A 19922-nucleotide genomic window follows, 5' to 3' on the forward strand; every position below is an offset into this window, starting at 1 on the left:
TGTGCCATGAAGGCTCATTATCTTAAAGCCTCGTGTTGTTCTACAGAAGCCATGTGTGACATTTCGCACTAATGGCTTATGCTGTTACTAAATACTTGTCTCTAACTCCCTCAGTCTTTGGGAATGCAGGCATCCACTTGCATGTAAATTAATAGCTTTGCAGAGTGGAAATGAGGTACCCAGAAAAGTCCTTTCATTTCCTGAGTCCAATAAGGAAATAAGTTCCTTTTCCTAATTACATATTTGACCAGAGTTATTGTTTTCAAACTTATATGAAAATACCTATTTTATGGGAAAGCGTGCTTTCATGATCTCAGTAAATAAAACTGGGGCTTTGTTTCTAATGATTATACTATTTACATTAAACTGATTATCAGCTGGGGAGAAGAGTAGGTGTACACACTTACTTTCTTCTTCAAGGAAGTTTTCAGCAGCTGATAGTAACCTTCTTCTGTCATCTGGGTTTTCAATATTTAATTCAATGAGGTGACTCTCTTTTATATCTTTTAAATCTTCTAGAGTCTCATAACCATTGAGCAAAAGTGTTGAGGTGTATTCCTGTAAGACAAAAAATATAAAGCAAATTAGTCAGATTCAAATATTTTATTTTTAGTTCTCTTTAGATTTAAAGAAAGTATAGAGATGCACATGGGGACCAAAGGTGCCAATAGAACTTTTACTTAACTTCACTTGTATTCGTTTCTGACATATGAACTCCAGGGCTCTTAAATGATTATGTTGTATAATTCTCGCCTTTTGGAAGGCCAAATGTAAAGAAGAAATAATTACCTTAAGCTATACAATTCCAAATCATGGATAAATTAAATAGTTGGATCATGCATCCCATTTGGAAATGTTTCACTTCTCAACTAACTAAATTGACAGAACTAGCATTACTTTAAGTCTATCAATAAAATGCCTCTAGCAGAGTAGCATGCTACAGCAATATTTCAGAATCTACATCTCTTCTTGTTTTCATGATTGCAAAAGCATCTACTCTCAAAACATTCTTGGGGTAGGTTAAAAAATGAGTTTGAAACAGATGTAATTCTATACAAAAAAGTGGGTGTAGCATTTTGATTGAAAGGCATTATGTAAACCAAAAGAATTGGAGACTTTCTATTTAATTGGAAGCTTTTACTAAGCATAGAAGCACTGTAGTTGGGGAAAGAATTGTTTTCTCAGCATGTATATTTTGTCCGTCATTTGAATCAATATGTATTAGTTTAAAATTCATAGGTTTCCGATTTCAAAGTCTGTATGTTATTTTGAAACCTCTATCCTCTCAAACAAAATAAAAATATTAAGTGAAGTTGAGTGCTTTTTCAACTTCTTCAGATTCCTCCTATTTTACTTGCTCTAATTTCAATATCCTTATTTTAATTACTAAAATAGAATAAGAGGAAGTCTAAAAGTTTTAAGTAATCAGGGAGAACTTATGACCACCCCTTTTTAACAAAAAAAAAAAAAAAAAGGAAGAAAAGCAAGAAGAATGACAATTCTTTCTTTAAAAAAGTATATTCTTAGCACTGAATTAGAATAAAGAACACAAAATTTCCTGTTCTGACATATAACCATTTAACTGTGCATTCTTGGGGAAGTCATTTCAGTCTCATAGACCTTGGTTTTCTCACAGGTCACACAATGAACAAGATTCAGAGGCAAGATGCTAACCCGTACATTCTCATAGGAATATCCCATTTGAGGTGCACCAAGAGTAATATAGGAAGGCTTAGATAGTGTGTTTACAGACAGGAACATAACTAGATAATTCAGAAAAAAACAATTAAGAAAAGTGTAATTGGCTATTGTCTTGGTGAATTTTGAAAACTATCAAAGTGCTGCTGAGTTAATTTTAGAAATGGATTGCAAAACTGTAAATTCATTGATACTAGGTGTAGTGTATGTACACACTATTTAACAAGGTAGATATTTCAAAAGAATTTTGGTAATATAACAAGAAAATCATAATTGGGTTACAGATACAGACAACACAGTTTCCTTAACACAATCATTATGCGGCTTGATGATCACCGTTTCCCTCAAATTACTTTTAAAATGATTATATTCAGTTATCTTCTCTCAACTTGATTTTGATCTCTGCTTGGTAGAAAATACAATTCCCTTCTCATTTTTCCTTTCACTTTTTTAGACTTACTTTATTCCTTATACTCTCTTTACCATTCTCGTTTAGACATTTTCTTAGGGCTTTTTATTCTCCTAGATATTTTTCATTTTTCACTGCATTTTCTCAACATCAATCTCTATTGTCACTGCTAAATACTATTAAGGTATAGTCCAAGGGATATTATATCAAGACTTGTCCTTGCATAAAAAAGTAATAAAAGAGAAATAAGAGCTCTTCTAGGAAAACAGGTTTTCCTTTGCTTGCAAGACTTGTATTTTTAAGCAATGCAACACAAATACTGATCCACTCCCTTCGGTGTTTCCATTTACATGCTTCCAAAAGCAAACAGAACACAGATTTGCTCACCTGCAGATGAATCCTCTCTAGGAACTCCTGCAGAGTCTTGGATTTTTTGCTGTTACTCCTTCGGTTTGCCTTTATTTTCTTGGGGGCTGCTTCCTCTTCTGAGATGACATCCACATAAATGAATTTGAAGTTTCCCACTTTATTGTTCAACATTCCTGTCCACATCCCCATTGGTGTTTTGCAAATAATGTCTATGATGTCTCCTTTCTAAGGGCAAAGAAATCCATACACATTAGATTTCAGAGAACCTCACTGATAGAAAGAATGAAATCATAGAAAACTAGAATAATGAGGACATTATGCTAAAGGGGTTCAGATATAACAGAAACAAATCTAAACATTCACTTGCTTCAAAAGTTCAGGCTGGTGGCATGGTGGGTCATGCTTATAATCCCAGCACTTTGGGAGGCCAAGGCGGGAGGATTGCATGAGGCCAGGAGTTTGAGACCAGCCTGGGTGACAAAGTGAGATCCCATCTCTACAATTTTTTTCTTTTAATTAGCCTGGCGTGGTAGCATGTATCTGTAGACTGAGGTGGGAGGAGTTCAAAGCTGCAGTGAGCTGTAATCATGTCACTGCACTCCAGCCTGGGCAACACAGTGAGATCCTATCTTAAAAAAAATTCAAAGAAGTTACTTACTAGTTATAATGAAGAAAACTTCAACATTCTTGACAAAAAGCTCTCACATAGTTTGATGACATGTTTCTGTTTCTGTTATTGTATCAATTTATCAACTTATAACTGTAGAGTCTGCAGTATAATTTACAAAACACTTTTGCCTACTCTAAGTTATTTTTGCTCACAACACACTTCTTAGATACATAAAGGAGGTATCATCATTATTAATGTAGATATTACAGAAAAAGAAACAGAGATATTAAACGACTTCTCAAAAGCTTGCAGGAAGTTAACGGCAGAACCAGAACTCAAGTTCAAGTTATCTTAACCAAAAATTGATGCTCTTTTTATTTATACTGTCAAAGTAATATATATGTAACAAAGCTCAAGTTATCATTCCAGGAGGTGCTCCCTAGCTGGGGAAGGAGATGAAAGAGAAGTCTGTTACTCTATATATTTCTAGTGCATCTGAAAAATTTATCTATGGTATAAAATAAACCCATTTCAAGTATTTCATTCATCTAAAATAAAGAAATTTTGCAGAATTCACATAAAAGTATGTGTACACTAAGGATAAATTATGCTACTTAATTCTTTTTAAGGTATTCATGCTCTCCTCTTATTAAGAAGAGATAACATTTAGATTGAGCTCACAGCAAAGTTTAGATTGAAGTATGAATGAATCATATTAGTATGGACAAACCAATTGGTCTTTTTCTTTACTCACATCTAAGACCATAATTAACTATAGGCTGCCAGTTATTGGCAAGGGTAGAAAACCTCATGGGGATATTTATTTGTAAAGAAAATTTATTTCTATGCAAATAGGATGCCTATGTTCAAGAGTTATAGTTCCTCCTTTGAGACTTAAAACTTTCTGCCCCAGAGAGGACTTTACAGATTCTAATATTTTTGCCCTTTTTAAGTGTCTATCCTCAAACAAACTAAGCATCAAGCCTGCTACTAAAAATATTTTTTCCTGCTGCTCTGAGAATGTGTGTTCTTCCATCTAAAAAACAAATTTTACTTGTAATGGTATAATTCACCATGACTGAACTAACTGGTCTATCTTGTGATCATCTGTCTGTCTAGTCCTGTGATCTGTTAGGCTTTCTGCCTTTAATGAAAGGGAATCAAATCATAGGTTGGATGGTATCAGCTAGGGAGACTGAGAAGCTCTCCTGAAGCTCTGGAAAGTTTCTAGGCATGGAAACCCTTCACTGCATCCTTCCTATTATCCTTGAAACTTGTAAATTTGCAACTTTATCCTTTAAAGGTATATACCTGTGCATTCCAGGAAAGCCCACAGGTCATCAAGCAAAGACTCAATTTCATTTTGGATAAGACCCTTGATGGAAATAATAGTATTTCAATTTTCATGGGTAACTGGGGAATTCCTGTTGTGTCCTGTAAGAGCTCCACAAAAACTCACCTCAGGCAGCAGCAGCAGTGGTCCCTTGGCACGGTATTGTACGGAAGTTGAAAGACTATCCTGAGTCAAACTGTGTTGTGTTTATTTCCTTCTACTGCTCTCTCCCACAATGGTTACTAGGTTATGGGTACCCTTTCCCCAAGACTTGAACTTAGACATCAGATCATTCCATATACATAACTAAGGAGCTTACTGTGGGGAACAGTGCATTTTTAATTCTCCAGTTGAGCTCACTCTGATTTAATAGCATGGAAGGGATCAAGAGAAGGGCTGAAGACCTTAAATGTTAAATAATAATATAAATACTCCATAATATATCATAATTATTAGTTAACATTGGTTTAGTGTTAACAATATAGAAAATTCATACTTTATGCCCTTTGACTTTTAGCACTTTGTGATACTAGAAAGGAATAATTTAACATCTATGAATTCTTTTAGCGCAAAACCTTCTTCTCTTTGTGCTATTGTAACTCACCCCTCTCCTTGAGTGTGAGCAGGACTATGAAAATGATGGATATCACACTCATGATTATGTTACCCTTATATAATAGGAGGGACTTTGCAGATCCATTTAGTGTACTGAATTATTTGATTTTGAGTTAACTGAAAGGGAGATTATCTTGATGGGTCTGACAAATCAGGTAGGATCCCTTAAAAAAAAAGATTAAGGCCTGAGTGAGCTTTTTCCTGTTCATCCTGAAAGAGCCAACTGCCGTATTGTAGAGAGGGCCTTGGCTGGTGGAATCTAGAGGCTTAGAATGGACTCCAGTTGATATCCAGCAAGAAAATGGGGTCCTTAGTCCTACAACCACAAGGAACTGAATTCTGTCAAAAGCCAGTGAACTCAGAAGAGAACCCTGAGCCTCAGGTGAGATCACAGCTTTCTTAGAATTCAGTTGAGCCCATAATTATGACCTACAGAAACTGTGAGCCAGCAATACATTTGTGTTGTTTGATGCCTCTGAGCTTGAGGTAATGTGTTACACAGCAATAGAGAATGAATACAGAGGATAAGAGTAAGAAGGGGGAATTCAGGAGGGAATATCACCAGGAGAAAGGTCTCTGGTTACTCATAGCAACCAACTTAAAAAGTACTAGACATTTCCGGGGCATCATGGCAGACGGCAGGCAGGACCAGATTGCAGCTCCAACTCGAGCAGAGGAGTGTGTGGATGCTCACATGATGAATTTTGGCTCCAGAACGATTGCAGAAATAAATTAGGAAACCTGGGAGGACTCACAGATCCCCTGAAGGAAGTGAATTCCTCCTTCAGTAAACAGGAGACAATCTAAATACCGTGCTGGCATCCACAGCTGAGAGGCCCACAGACAGTTAACATCATAAGACTCTGTGCAGACAACCCTTAGTACCAGCCTGGAGCCTGGTAGACTAGTTGGGTGGCTAGATGTAGAAGACAGGTAACAATCATTACAGATTGCTCTCAGGAAGCCTCATCCATAGGAAGAGGGGGAGAGTACTACATCAAGGGAACACCCCATGGGACAAAAGAATCTGAACAACAGCCTTCAGTCCTAGACCTTCCCTCTGACAGAAACTACCCAAATGAGAAGGAGCCAGAAAACCAACTCTGATAACATGACAAAACAAGCTTCTTTAACACCATCAAAAAAATCACACTAGCTCACCACCAATGAATCCAAACCAAGAAGAAATCCCTGATTTACCTTAAAAAGAATTCAGGAGGTTAGTTATTAAACTAACCAGGAGGCACCAGAGAAAGGTGAAGCGCAAGGTAAGGAAATCCAAAAAACGATCCAAGACGTGAAGGGAGAAATATTCAAGGATAGATAGCATAAATAAAAAACAATCAAAACTTCAGGAAACAATGGACATGCTTATAGAAATGCAAAATGCTCTGGAAAGTTCCAGCAACAGAATTGAATAAGTAGAAGAAAGAAATTCAGAGCTCAAAGGCAAGGTCTTTGAAATTATCCAAACCAACAAAGACAAAGAAAAAGAATAAGAAAATATGAACAAAGCCTCCAAGAAGTCTGGGATTATATTAAATGACCAAACATAAGAATAATCAGTGTTCCTGAGGAAGAAGAGAAATCTAAAAGTTGGGAAAACGTATTTGGAGGAATAATCAAGGAAAACTTCCCTGGCCTTGCTAGAGATCTAGACATCCAAATACAAGAAACACGAACCTAGGAAATTCATTGCAAAGAGATGATTGCCTAGGCACATTGTCATCAGGTTATCTGAAGTTAAGACAAAGGAAAGAATCTTAAGAGCAATGAGACAAATGGACCAGGTAACCCATAAAGGAAAACCTATCAGATTAACAGCAGATTTCTCAGCAGAAACCCAACACGCTAGAAGGGATTGGGACCCTGTCTTCAGCCTTCTCAAACAAGACAATTATTAGCCAAGAATTTTGTATCCAGCAAAATCAAACTTCATATATGAAGGAAAGATACAGTCTTTTTCAGACAAACAAATGTTGAGAGAATTTGTCACTACCAAGCCACTAAAAGGAGCTCTAAATCTTCAAACAAATCCTGGAAACACATCAAAACAGAACCTCTTTGAAGCATAAATCTCACAGGACCTATCAAACAAAAATACAATTTAAAAAACACAAAAAACCAAAAAAAATGTATACAGGCAACAAATAGCATGATGAATGGAATAGTACCTCATATCTCAATACTAACACTGAATTAAATGGCCTAAATTCTCCACTTGAAAGTTACAGAATTGCAGAATGGATAAGATTTCACAAACTATATGCTGCCTTCAAGAGACTCATCTAACACATAAAGACTCACACAAACTTAAGGTACAGGGGTGGAAAAAGATATTTCATTCAAATGGACACCAAAAGTGAGCAGGAATAGTTACTGTTATATCAGACAAAACAAACTTTAAAGCAACAGAAGTTGAAAAAGACAAATAGGGACATTATACAATGATAAAAGGCCTTGTCTAACAGGAAAATATCACAATCCTAAACATGTATGCACCTAACACTGGAGCTCTCAAATTTGTAAAACAATTACTAATAGGCCTAAGAAATGAGATAGACAGCAACACAGTAATAGTGGGGAACTTCAGTACTCCAGTGACAGCACTAGACAGGTGATCAAGACAGAAAGTCAACAAAGAAGCAATGGATTTAAATTATACCCTGGAACAAATAGACTTAACAGATACATACAGAACATTCCATCCAACAACCTCAGAATATACATTCTATTCAACAACACATGGAACTTTCTCTAAGATAGACCATATGATAGGACATAAAATGAATCTCAATAAATATAAAAAAATTGAAATTATATCAAGCACTCTTTCAGACTACAATGGAATAAAACTGGAAATTAACTGCAAAAGGAACCTTCAAAACCATGCAAATATATGATCCCTGGGTGAAAAATGAAATCAAGATGGAAATTAAAAAATTCTTTGAACTGAACAACAATAGTGACATGACCTATGACAACCTCTGGGACACAGCAAAGGGGGTGCTAAGGGGAAAGTGCATAGCCCTAAACACCTACATCAAAAGGTCTGAAAGAGCCCAAATGGACAATCTAAGGTGACACCTCAAGGAACTAGAGAAACAAGAACAAACCAAACTCAAACACAGCAGAAGAAAGGAAATAACCAAGGTCAGAGCAGAATTAAATAAAATTGAAACAAAAAAATATGAAAGATAAATGAAACAAAAAGCTGTTTTTTGAAAAGATGAATAAAATTAATAGACCATTAGTAAGAATTCAAATAAGCTCAATATGAAATGAAACGGGGTATTACAACTGACACTACAGAAATACAAAAGATCATTCAAGGCCACTACGAACACCTTTGCATGCATAAACTAGAAAACCTAGAAGACATGGATAAATTCCTGGAAAGATACAACTCTCCTAGCTTAAATCAGGAAAAATTAGATACCCGGAATAGACCAATAACAATCAATGATATTGAAATGGTAATTTTAAAATTACCAACAAAAAAAGTTGAGGACCAGACCTATTCACAGCAGCATTCTACCAGACATTCGAAGAAGAATTGGTACCAATCCTATTGACACTATCCCACAAGATAGAGAAAGAAGGAACCCTCCCTACATCATTCTATGAAGCCAGTATCACCCTAATACCAAAACCAGGAAAGAGGGTAACCAAAAAAGAAAACTACAGACCAATATCCCTGATGAACATAGATGCTAAAATTCTTAACAAAATACTAGCTAACTGAATTCAACAACATATCAAAAAGATAACCCACCATGATCAAGTGGGTTTAATACCAGGGATGCTGGGAGGGTTTAATATATGCACTTCAATAAATGTGATACACCACATAAACAGAATTAAAAACAAAAATCACATGATCATCTCAATAGATGCAGAAAAAGCATTAGACAAAATCCAGCATTTCTTCATGATTAAAACTCAGCAAAATAGGCATACAAGCGACATACCTCAATATAATAAAAGCCATCTATGACAAACCCACAGTCAACATAATGCTGAATGGGCACAAGGTGAAAGCATTCCCTTTGAGAACTGGAACAAGATAAGGATACCCACTCTCACCATTCCTCTTCAACACAGTACTGGAAGTCCTAGCCAGAGCAATCAGACAAGAGAAAGAAATAAAGGGCATCTAAATCACTGAAGATGAAGTCAAACTGTCACTGTTTTCTGATGATATGATCATTTACTTAGAAAACCATAAAGACTCTTCCAGGAAGCTCCTAGAACTGATAAAAGAATTCAGCAAAGTTTCTGGATACAAAATTAACGTACACAAATCAGTAGCTCTTTTATACACTAACAGTGATCAAGCTAAGAATCAAATCAAGAACTCAACCCCTTTTACAATAGCTGCAAAAACAAAAACAAAAACAAAACTTTGGAATATGCCTAACTAAGGAGGTGAAAGACCTCCACAAGGAAAAGTACAAAGCACTGCTGAAAGAAATCATAGATGGCACAAACAAATGGAAACATGTTCTATGCCCATGGATAGGTAGAATCAATATTGTGAAAAGGACCATACTGTCAAAAGCAATCTACAAATTCAACAGATTTCCCATCAAAATACCACCATCGTTCTTCACAGAATTAGAAAAAACAATTCTAAAATTCATATGGAACCAAAAAAGAGCTTGCATAGCCAAAGCAAACTTGAGCAAAAAGAACAAATCTGGAGGCATCACATTACCTAATTTCAAACTATACTATAGGCTATAGTCACCAAAACAGCATGGTACTGGTAAAAAAAAAAAAAATAGGCACATAGACCAATGGAACAGAAAAGAGAACCCAGAAATAAATCCACATACTTAACGGCCAACTGATTTTTGAAAAAGCAAACAAAAACATAAAGTGGGGAAAGGACACCCTTTTCAACAAATGGTGCTAGGATAACTGGCTAGCCATATGTAGGAGAATGAAACTGGATCCACAACTCTCACCTTATAGAAAAATCATCTCAAGATGGACTAACGACTTAAATCTAAGATCTGAAACTATAAAACTTCTAGAAGATAACATTGGAAAAACCTTTCTAGACATTGGCTTAGGCAAGGATTTCATGACCAAGAACACAAAAGCAAATGCAATAAAAACAAAGTTAAATTGCTGAGACTTAATTAAACTAAAGAGATTTTGCATGGTAAAAGAAACAGTCAGCAGAGCAAACAGACAACCCACAGGGTGGGAAAAAATTTTCACAATCTATACATCTGACAAAGGACTAATATCCAAAATCTACAATGAACTCAAATCAACAAGAAAAAAAAACAAACAATCCCATCAAAAAGTAGGCTGAGGACATGAATAGACAATTCTCAAAAGAAGATACACAAATGGCCAACAAACACATGAAAAAATGCTCAACATCACTAATGATGAGGGAAATGCAAATCAAAACCACAATGTGATACCAGCTTACCCCTGCAAGTATGGCCACAATCAAAAAATTAAAAAATTGCAGATGTTAGCATGGATGTACTGAAAAAGGAACACTTCTACACTGCTGGTGGGAGTGTAAACTAGTACAACCACTATGGAAAACAGTGTGGAGATTCCTTAAAGAACTAAAAGTAGAACGACCATTTGATTCAGCAATTCCACTGCTAGGTATCTATGCAGAGGAAAAGAAGTCATTATACAAAAAAGATACTTGCACACACGTTTGTGGCAGCATGATTTGCAATTGCAAAAATATGGAACCAACCCAAATGACCATCAATCAGTGAGTGGATAAAGAAACTGTGGTATAGGCTGGGCGTGGTGGCTCATGCCTGTAATCCCAGCACTTTGGGAGGCTGAGGTGGGTGGATCACGAGGTCAAGAGATCGAGACCATCCTGGCCAACATGCTGAAACCCCATCTCTACTAAAAATACAAAAATTAGCTGGGTGCGGTGGCCTCCAGCTAGTCGGGAGGCTGAGGGAGGAGAATCGCTTGAACCCAGGAGGCGGAGGTTTCAGTGAACCAAGATTGTGCCACTGCACTCCAGCCTGGTGACAGAGCAAGACTCCATCAAAAAAGAAAAAAACAAAAGAAAAGAAAAAAGAAAAGAAAAGAAAAGAAAGGAAAGGAAAGGAAAAGAAAACCATGGTGTATATATATACAATGGAATACTACTCAGCCATAAAAAGGAATGAATTAATGGCATTTGCAGTGACCAAGATGAGACTGGACATTATTATTCTAAGTAAAGTAACTCAGCAATGGAAAACCAAACATCGTATGTTCTCACTCATAAGCAAGAGCTAAGCTATGAAGATGCAAAGGCATAGGAATGACCCAACGGACTTTGGGGACTTGGGGAAAGGGTGAGAAGGTGGTGAGGGATAAATTACTACAAATAGAGTGCAGTGTATACTGCTTGGGTGATGGGTCTCACAAATAACCGCTAAAGAACTTACCCATGTAACCAAACACCCCTGTTCCCCAATAACCTATGGAAATAAAAATAAAAATAAAAAATACTGGAATTGCCCTGCCAAGTCTGGTTCCCAAGGCCTTTGCTCTGCTCAGCTCTCGCCTGACATTTGCACCTTGTCTCCCTCTCTCTTCATTATTTCTATTCCTGCAAGTATCAGGCAGAGTTGGGCACCTTCAGCAACTGTGAGGCTTTTGGTTTTCAGGAAAATGGAGAGAATTCCTTCCTCCCTGATAGACTCTGAACCTGAATCATCTACATAATAACAACTTACACTAACAGCCTGAACAGACTGATACCCCGACTCCACCTCACATATTTTATTCAAATTCTTAGCACTGGGCCAGGCGTGGTGGCTCACGCCTGTAATCCCAGCACTTTGGGAGGCCGAGGCGGGCGGATCACGAGGTCAGGAGATTGAGACCATCCTGGCTAACACGGTGAAACCCTGTCTCTACTAAAAATACAAAAAATTAGCCGGGCGTGGTGGCGGGCGCCTGTAGTCCCAGCTACTCGGGAGGCTGAGGCAGGAGAATGGCGTGAACCCGGGAGGTGGAGGTTGCAGTGAGTGGAGATTGCGCCACTGCACTCCAGCCTGGGCAACAGAGTGACTCCGTCTCAAAAAAAGAAAAAAAAAAAAGAAAAAAAGTCTTAGTACTGTAAGCTAGCCTCCACTTCTACTGTTGGGAAGAACACACTCACACTGTCTTCCCACTGCTTATACTTGCTGAAACAGATCATATAATCAGCATTTGACAGACCATTCAGAAGGTGGGATATGATGTCCTCTCACCTTGATTTTGAGGGAGTCAGTGTCATAGGGACTTGGCGTGAAATCCGTATGCACTCTGGCACGGCCACAGAATGGTCCTGAATAGGGGCCATCGTCATCCAGTCGAAAGCTGTCCCGGTTACTTGTACCATCTGAACAGCTTGTTATGCCACCTGATGAAAGCAGAAGTTCACAGTTGTCATGGAAGACTTATAACATTCTGAATCATCATCTGGACACAACTAAGTATTGATAATGCTGGAACACTGGATGCCAGGCTCCTGAGGAAGTTCTAATTGACCCATCCTGGTGTCTGTCTTCCAGTTACTCTCCATCAGTGACGTCTGTCCTCTGAGCCATTTCGAACCTTTTTCCTGCCAATCTGGCCACTCTCCTCTATCACTAACCCAAGTACCCTCTCACTTCAGTCTCCGTAATCGGATCCAGTGCACAATGTACTAAGTATTGGTCACTTGCCAAAAGCATCACATTACAAAGTTCCCTACAATTTCCTCCCCAGAGTTCCCACTGTGTACCAAAGGCCATTTTGAGGCAATATTTCTGTCATAACAGGTGGCACTTTTGCTTGTTGTATGAGTGCAAGGGAAGGAGAAAGTGTGTCTGAATATCTGCATCCCCATGTGGTTTGAAACTTCTAAACTGGGCCTTTAAAACTGCTCCAAATCCTTGTTGTCTGGTCCTCTTATTTTTGATCTTAAACTTCAGGAAACAGAGAAAAGAGATAGCATTTTGTCACCTGTCTGGGAACAAGAATGGCTCCCAGTGGAAGTAATTCTCCTCCCCCACCCTCATACTCAGTCACCACTTCACATCTTCCTTCAGTCAAGCCTTTCATCACTCTGTTCAGTGAGGGAATAGCCCACGTTTCACTACCATGCATTGTGGAAATAAGGTATAGCTCCTTCAAGATGCTCCACATTGTATGTGAACTGATGTAAAACACAGATGAGTTGCATCTAATCACATAAATTAAGTGGTATACAGTAATGGTAAAATGGACCACCATCTCTTCACACCCTCCCTTCCATGACAACTCCAGACCAGGGCTTTTCGCAGTCCATTCTAGTTAATAAAATTCTCCCCACATCCAGCATCACAATATAGAGTTTTTAAACTTCCAGGAGAAATTAATACTAATGAGATCTGAATTTCATACATGCAAAAAACATCCTTTAAATGTTTCTGTGTTAGCTTTTGTCACAAAATAACTATTCTACAGCCAATAGGAAAATAGGAATAAAACTCAGGATATTTGAAACATCTGGTCTTGCCATACATCTTCAGATAACAGAAGCAGTTGATTTAAAAGGAAATGGGAAACAAACTTTGCAAAAACATTTAAAAACCCTGAAAAGATTAGAGAGATGTATAACAGTCTACATACAAAAAGTCATAAGGCACCCTGCAATATCAATCGTTTCATCCAAATATTGTAGCTGGAAATTTGACTAAATCCTGAGTGATTTCCTTCTTAGAAAAAATATTAATCTTCATTAGAAAATCCTTGTTGGTTACTTTGGATCCCTTTTTGCCACCTAATTGGTCATAGTCCTACCATTTATTATTTGCATATTGCTTCACTCTTTACTGATTAATGCTGGGTTAAGATCTAAAAAGTAAATGTCAGTAAAAGTAAATTGATGCAAATGTGCTACATTTTTCAGAGTACTTCAGGAAAAAAGGAAAGTGGTCGGGGGAGAAAGAATGAGGGGGACGCAGGGAAGAGGAAGGGAGAAAGAAAGAGACAGAGAATGGAGCAGAAAATAAATTTCATTTATCTGAATACTTCAAGTCATTTTGAAATATGTTGACTCAAGATAAAGGTGGCTCACTCCAACAAAGGTGTTTATTTTAAAGATGCAGGTTTAATCTCCTAATATGGCTTTTTTGAGGAGTATCCCGAGGAGCCCCGTTGACTACAGTGTTAAAAGTTTTCACACACTATATGACTGTGTCAAATATATTATGTATTATTTAAACAATAGCAACTCTATATAGATTTAATATATCTTACATTTTTACCATTTCTCTTATCAAGTAGCTGGAACCTTGTGGCTGATTTAACTTGTTGTTTTTTAATTAATTTAACCCAGACCTCACACCCAGGATCTTGTCCCTGATTCATTAGCCTTACTTGATGAGCTCTGTCCACTGTAGAGACTATCCATGGAGTCACTGGCTTTGAGGGACACCTTCTCTGTGTGGGTCCCAATCACAGGGTCACTGTTTCTATATGGGTGGGCATTCTCTCCATCTTCCTCATCCTTCAGAAAACATATCAGAGGTTAGGTACAGAGAGAAGATTTCCACAGAGATGTACATTGAGTACATTGATTTAATAGACACATATTTTAGCAATAAAATACTTAAGGATACATAAGGATAAAATACAAAAGTAGTTCATCTTCAGTTCAATTTCTAGCAAAACCTTTCACAATATACTTGGAAAAATTACTCAGATGACACATTCTTTCTGTAAAATTCAGTTGAAATTATAATGGCTCATTTTTACAAACTAGGATGAATATCATATCAATATTATTTAATCAAAAGTGTTAGATTTATTGACATCTATGGTTTATCTTTTAAAGCACTTTTACTTCTTCATGTTGTCCTTATGCTCTATTTACCACCATTACTAATCCATTGAGATCTGATCCTACAAGCTTAAACTCTGCATAGTTGTTTCATGTCAGTTATTTGCATCCTACCAGATCACTAGATATGAATAAAACATGTACATTTTGCAATTCTAAAGCAAAGCTTATCTAAAAAGCTTTACAAATCTAATACCATGCTTGCCACCTAGTCAAGTGAGAAGCAAATCTTGCATAAAATTAGAAAAGACAGACAATTTCAAAACAAATTATATTTTCTTGAAAACATCTCCAATGTTTTCCATATTTCAATAGTTTGGATTAAACCTATGAATTTCTTAATATTCATCAGAATGTAATTCAACATTCTTTATTTGTGAGCATTTCTAAACATTGATAAAACTTCAGAATACACAAATGATATACACTCAGTTTGATTCTCCACTTTTATCCATTTCTTTTTTGATTCAGTCATTCAACACAATTTTATAGAACACCTCCTAGGTACTGAGCAGTGTTCTTGGAACTGGGGATTTTCATGGTAAACAAGATAACAGGGTGCTTGCTATAATGAAGGATATTCTATTGTGTTAGCTGTGTGTGTTTGTGTGTGCGTGTGTGTGTGTCTGTGTAGAGTATTTGGGGAGGTGTGTCTAAACACAATAAGACAATTTCAGAGAATAGTAAGTGTTATGAAAGAAATAAAACTGGGTGATGTGAGAGAATTTGTTGCTGAGGTTAGGGTTAGGGGTTGGCTGATTTAAATGGAGTATCCTCCAAAGACCTCTGCCATACAGTAATATATGCCCTGAATTATTGACCTAAAGGATAAGAAGATGTAACTTATGTGAAGCTTTGGAGACAGTTTTCCAAGCAAAAGGAATAGCAACAGCAAAATAATTGAACTCAGAATTATCTTGGGTTGTGCAGGGAAAACAGCAAGGCTAATGTAGTGTGAGAAAGGAGAATATTAGTGTGTGAGTTCAGGGAAGTAGACTGGAGCCACATCAAGAAAAGCTTTATAGACCATGTGTGGTGGCCATGGAAATGTGCCACTTAGATCTCTTGCTGCGGGACCCTTCTTTACTGACAGTCCCAGGACTGCCCCTCTGTATCCATCACTCCATTTGCACTAAAGCCATGCTCCCTTTCAGTAACTGAAAAAATAGGGGTATTGTTTGAGCCCATTCTAGTGGAATGTAGGGTTCCTGTAATGGAAAACTTTAGTATAAGAATCCTCCATCAATCTGACCAAAGCTTTCTCAGTATTCTGCTGAAGTATGAGACTCTCTCTACCTGATTCTTCTTCCTTTTCCTCATCCTTTTACAGATGTCAGATTTACGTTGCAGTCTAAAGGCTTTCTCTTTAGCCTTCCTAGCATTTCCTGTCATAAATCTGTGGTGTTTCTACTCTTTTTCTTGGGATCTAGAATGAACACACCAAGTAAAGAGGTTCACTATGAAGACACTGAAATTTTAACCATGACCTGATTTCCACTTGTCAGAGATATTTCTGGCTTTCATATGGAGAATAAATTTTATGGGGGAAAGAATAAAAAGAATGGAAAGCAATTAGGGGATTATGATAGTAATCCAGGAAAGAAAGGTTGGTTATTTAGTCTAAAGCAGGAATAGTTTACATGGAGAAATTAGGGAGTTTATATATACGTGGTAATACAATTCAGAGAATTTACTGATGAATTAGTGTGAAAAGTGAGAAAAAGAAGGAATTTAGGGTGATTCTTAGATTTTCTTTTCTTCCTATTTTTTATATTTTTGTTTTTATTTATTTTGGGGATCAGTGTTGTCTGCTGCCACTGGGAATACTGGATGAGAAAACCATTTTTTTTGTAAAAGTGTAGAGAATAAATATATTAGCTTTGGATATATTAGGTTTTGGATGTCTACTGGACATCTAAATGAAGATATCAAATAAGCAATTGATTGTATTAATATAGCAGATAAGTGAAGAGGTCATAGCTAGAGATATAGTTGTGAAAAACAAAATCATGAGAGTAGATGAGCTGACTTAAGGGGAGAATGTAGATTCAATGGAGCATCCAGGAACAAGCCTCAGGAAGATGTTTCAAGGGATGAGAAAGAAAGCAGAGCCAAGAAAGGAAGCTATGAGGAAGAAGAAATGCCAGAAGCATGCCTAGTCAAAAAAAAACAAGAAAAGTGGATGTTTTATATGTAAGGAAATCAGCACTTGGGTCAAATACAGTTGAAAAGTAGTAAGGAGAAAGAAAAGTGACCATTGGACCTGGCAACACAGAGGTCACTACTGACGGCGACAGCTATTTTAATGGAGTACTGGAGACAGAGCCCTGTTGAAGTGGATTGAAAAAGAGAATGGACATAAGACATAAAAATCAATAAAGTAGAATTGGGAGTCCATAAGTAAACTCACTTATTTATGATCCATATATTTATGACAATATATTTATGGTCAATTGATTTTTAACAAGAGTACCGAGACAATCAAATAGGAAAAGAATAGTCTTTTCAACAAATAGTGTAAGGACAACTATATATCTACATGCAAAAGAATGAAGGTGGACTCTTCCTATATACTGTACAGTAAAATTATCTTGAAATAAATGATACACCAAAATTTAAGAGACTATTGGCCTCTTAGAAGAAAACATGGGAATAAATCTTCATTACATTAGATTAGACAATGGTTTGTTAAATATGTTACCAAAAGCACAAGTGACCAAAAAAAGATAATTGGACTACAATAAAATTAGGAACATTTGTGCTACAAACAACACCATCAAGAAAATAAAAATACAATCCACAGAATTGGAGAAAATATATTATATTGCATGTCATATATCTGATAAAAAACTTGCATCCAGAATATATAAAAAACATTTAAAACTCAACAATAAGAAGATAAATAACCCAATTAAAAACGAACAATGGATTTGAAAAACACTTCTCCACAAAGATAGATAAATGGCTAAAAAGCACATGAAAAGATTCTTGACATTATTAGTCATCAGGGAAACGTAAAGTACAACCAAATGTAAATCAAAATCACAATGAGATTCCACCTCACATCCACTAGGATGGCTAGTATTAAAAAGACAGACAATAACAAGTGTTGGCAATGATGCAGAGAAATTGGAACCCTCATACATTGTTGATGGGAATGTCAAATGACACACCTGCTTAAAAAAACAATTTGCCAGTTTCTCTATTAGACATGGAGTTACTATATATCCAAGAGAAATGAAAAAATATTTCCACACAAAAATTGAACAGAAGTATCTGTAGCAGCATTATTCATAATAGCCAAAAAGTGAAAGCAACCCAAGTAATCACTAAGTGATAAATGGATAAAGTAAATGTGATCCATCTATAAAAGGAGAAATATTATTTGGCAATAAAAAGGAATGAAGTACTGATACTTGCTACTAAATTAATGACATGTTGTTCTTCACATTGTTCTTCGCATCACATTCTAGATGCATGATCTTTTTTTTTGTTTTGTTTTTTGAGACGCCATCTTGCTCTGTTGCCAGGCTGAAGTTCAGTGGTGCAATCAGGGCTCACTGGAACCCCCGCCTCCCGGGTTCAAGCGATTCTCCTTCCTCAGCCTCCTGAGTAGCTAGGACTACAGGCGTGCACCACCATGCTCAGCTAATTTTTGTATTTTTAGTAGAGACGGGGTTTCACCATGTTGGCCAGGCTGGTCTTGAACTCCTGACTTCAGGTGATCTTCCCGCCACGGCCTCCAAAGTGCTCGGATTACAGGTGTGAGCCACTGCACCCAGCAGATGCATGATCTTTCTGAGTGTCAGTTTCTTCTGTTAAAATGAAAGTAATACTTCCTTCCACCCAAGTTCTGGGCATAATGACTGAGGAAGAAAACAAATGCTTAAGTACTTCATAAAGTACCAAGCACTTCTATAGTCTAGCTGAATAGTTTAAGAAAGTTTTAGTAGAAAAATACAAATGATTATCAGAGAATATTTACCTTTTCCTCAGAAAGGGCTTTGATGTACTTTTTACCCACTTTTTTCTTCATTGTCCATGAAATAGCTCTCATTTTTTTACCCAAACCGCCTCCATTATTTGAAGTTTTACTTTGTTCTCCACTTCCATTTGTGGGATCTCCTTCATGTGCCTAGTTTAGAATTGTTTACAAAAGACAAAATAATAAAGCAATAAAAAACATTGATCTGAAATCACTGTTACAGAGAACATTCTGAGTTTGTGGATTTTGCATGCATTCTGTGCAGCAGCCTCCAAAATTTCTAACAATCCGGACATAACACATATTTTTAAAGTTGTCCAGCCCTGGTTGCTTGTGTTACGAACTCAGAAAGTAAAATTCGTGATGTTAAAGGACTTGAGCCTCACATCTGCAACTCTTTTAGAGAATTTTGACTATTTTTTAAATAGCTGTATTGAAGAATCATTTTATTCCCTCTTCTTGAGATGAACAAATAATATTAAACACCAGGTATAAGGAGTTCTTATGTCTACATAGATGAGAAATATTTTATTGGAAGCTTTAGATAGGCTGTAGCATCTATCTGTGTTGAATAGGCCTTAAAATATCCTCTTGCTTCTCATAGAAATTGAGATGATTGTGGTTATTTTAAAGAAGTTTTTGTGTTAATTAAATCCACTGAGAAATGTTAGATTTTTTTTCATCTTAGTGTGCACATTTCCCATATTCGCAAGCAATAGTAAATATGAACTAGTTCCAGCCATTAGTACAGAAATCTTCATGTAATTCACATGCTATATTAATCAAACATCTTATTTGGACTGCTTCAGTCTGTGCTTAGGAATTTTGTTAAACCAATGACTCAGAATAAAACACTCTGTTCACAGCCACAAGACTCTATATGTCATAACATAAAATAATGTTCTGTCAATATAATTAATATATTATGTGATATATATTACATTATATAGAATCTATATGAAATAAAATATCCTCACTACCCACCTTGCCCCTCGCTACTTCTCAAGTCTCCCTCGCTCACTAGATCAGTGGTTCTCAAAATATGATCCCTGGACCAGCGGCATT

At 36.7% G+C, this 19922-nt stretch overlaps 1 protein-coding gene and 1 long non-coding RNA gene across 10 annotated transcripts in view; one reads left to right on the forward strand and one right to left on the reverse strand.

Annotated features, from left to right (window-relative positions):
• The window catches only part of LOC124905053 (uncharacterized), a 61200-nt gene that overhangs the window by 20706 nt on the left and 20572 nt on the right, over positions 1-19922 (forward strand). The window lies entirely within an intron of this gene.
• Positions 1-19922, reverse strand: part of SAMSN1 (SAM domain, SH3 domain and nuclear localization signals 1) — a 174190-nt gene that overhangs the window by 12807 nt on the left and 141461 nt on the right. For 7 of the 9 annotated variants that reach the window (NM_001395858.1, NM_001395857.1, NM_001256370.2 and 4 more), the window contains 5 exons: positions 18858-19007; positions 14410-14539; positions 12276-12427; positions 2495-2701; positions 408-558 (listed from right to left, as the gene is read on the reverse strand). In NM_001395858.1, the coding sequence (NP_001382787.1) occupies positions 408-558; positions 2495-2701; positions 12276-12427; positions 14410-14539; positions 18858-19007 (790 nt within the window). The remainder of the gene's footprint in view (positions 1-407; positions 559-2494; positions 2702-12275; positions 12428-14409; positions 14540-18857; positions 19008-19922) is intronic. The other 2 variants (XM_011529685.1, XM_047440942.1) reach the window with 1 other exon arrangement.

Source organism: Homo sapiens, chromosome 21 (genome assembly GCF_000001405.40).
Source record: "Homo sapiens chromosome 21, GRCh38.p14 Primary Assembly".
Classification (NCBI taxonomy): domain Eukaryota; kingdom Metazoa; phylum Chordata; class Mammalia; order Primates; family Hominidae; genus Homo; species Homo sapiens.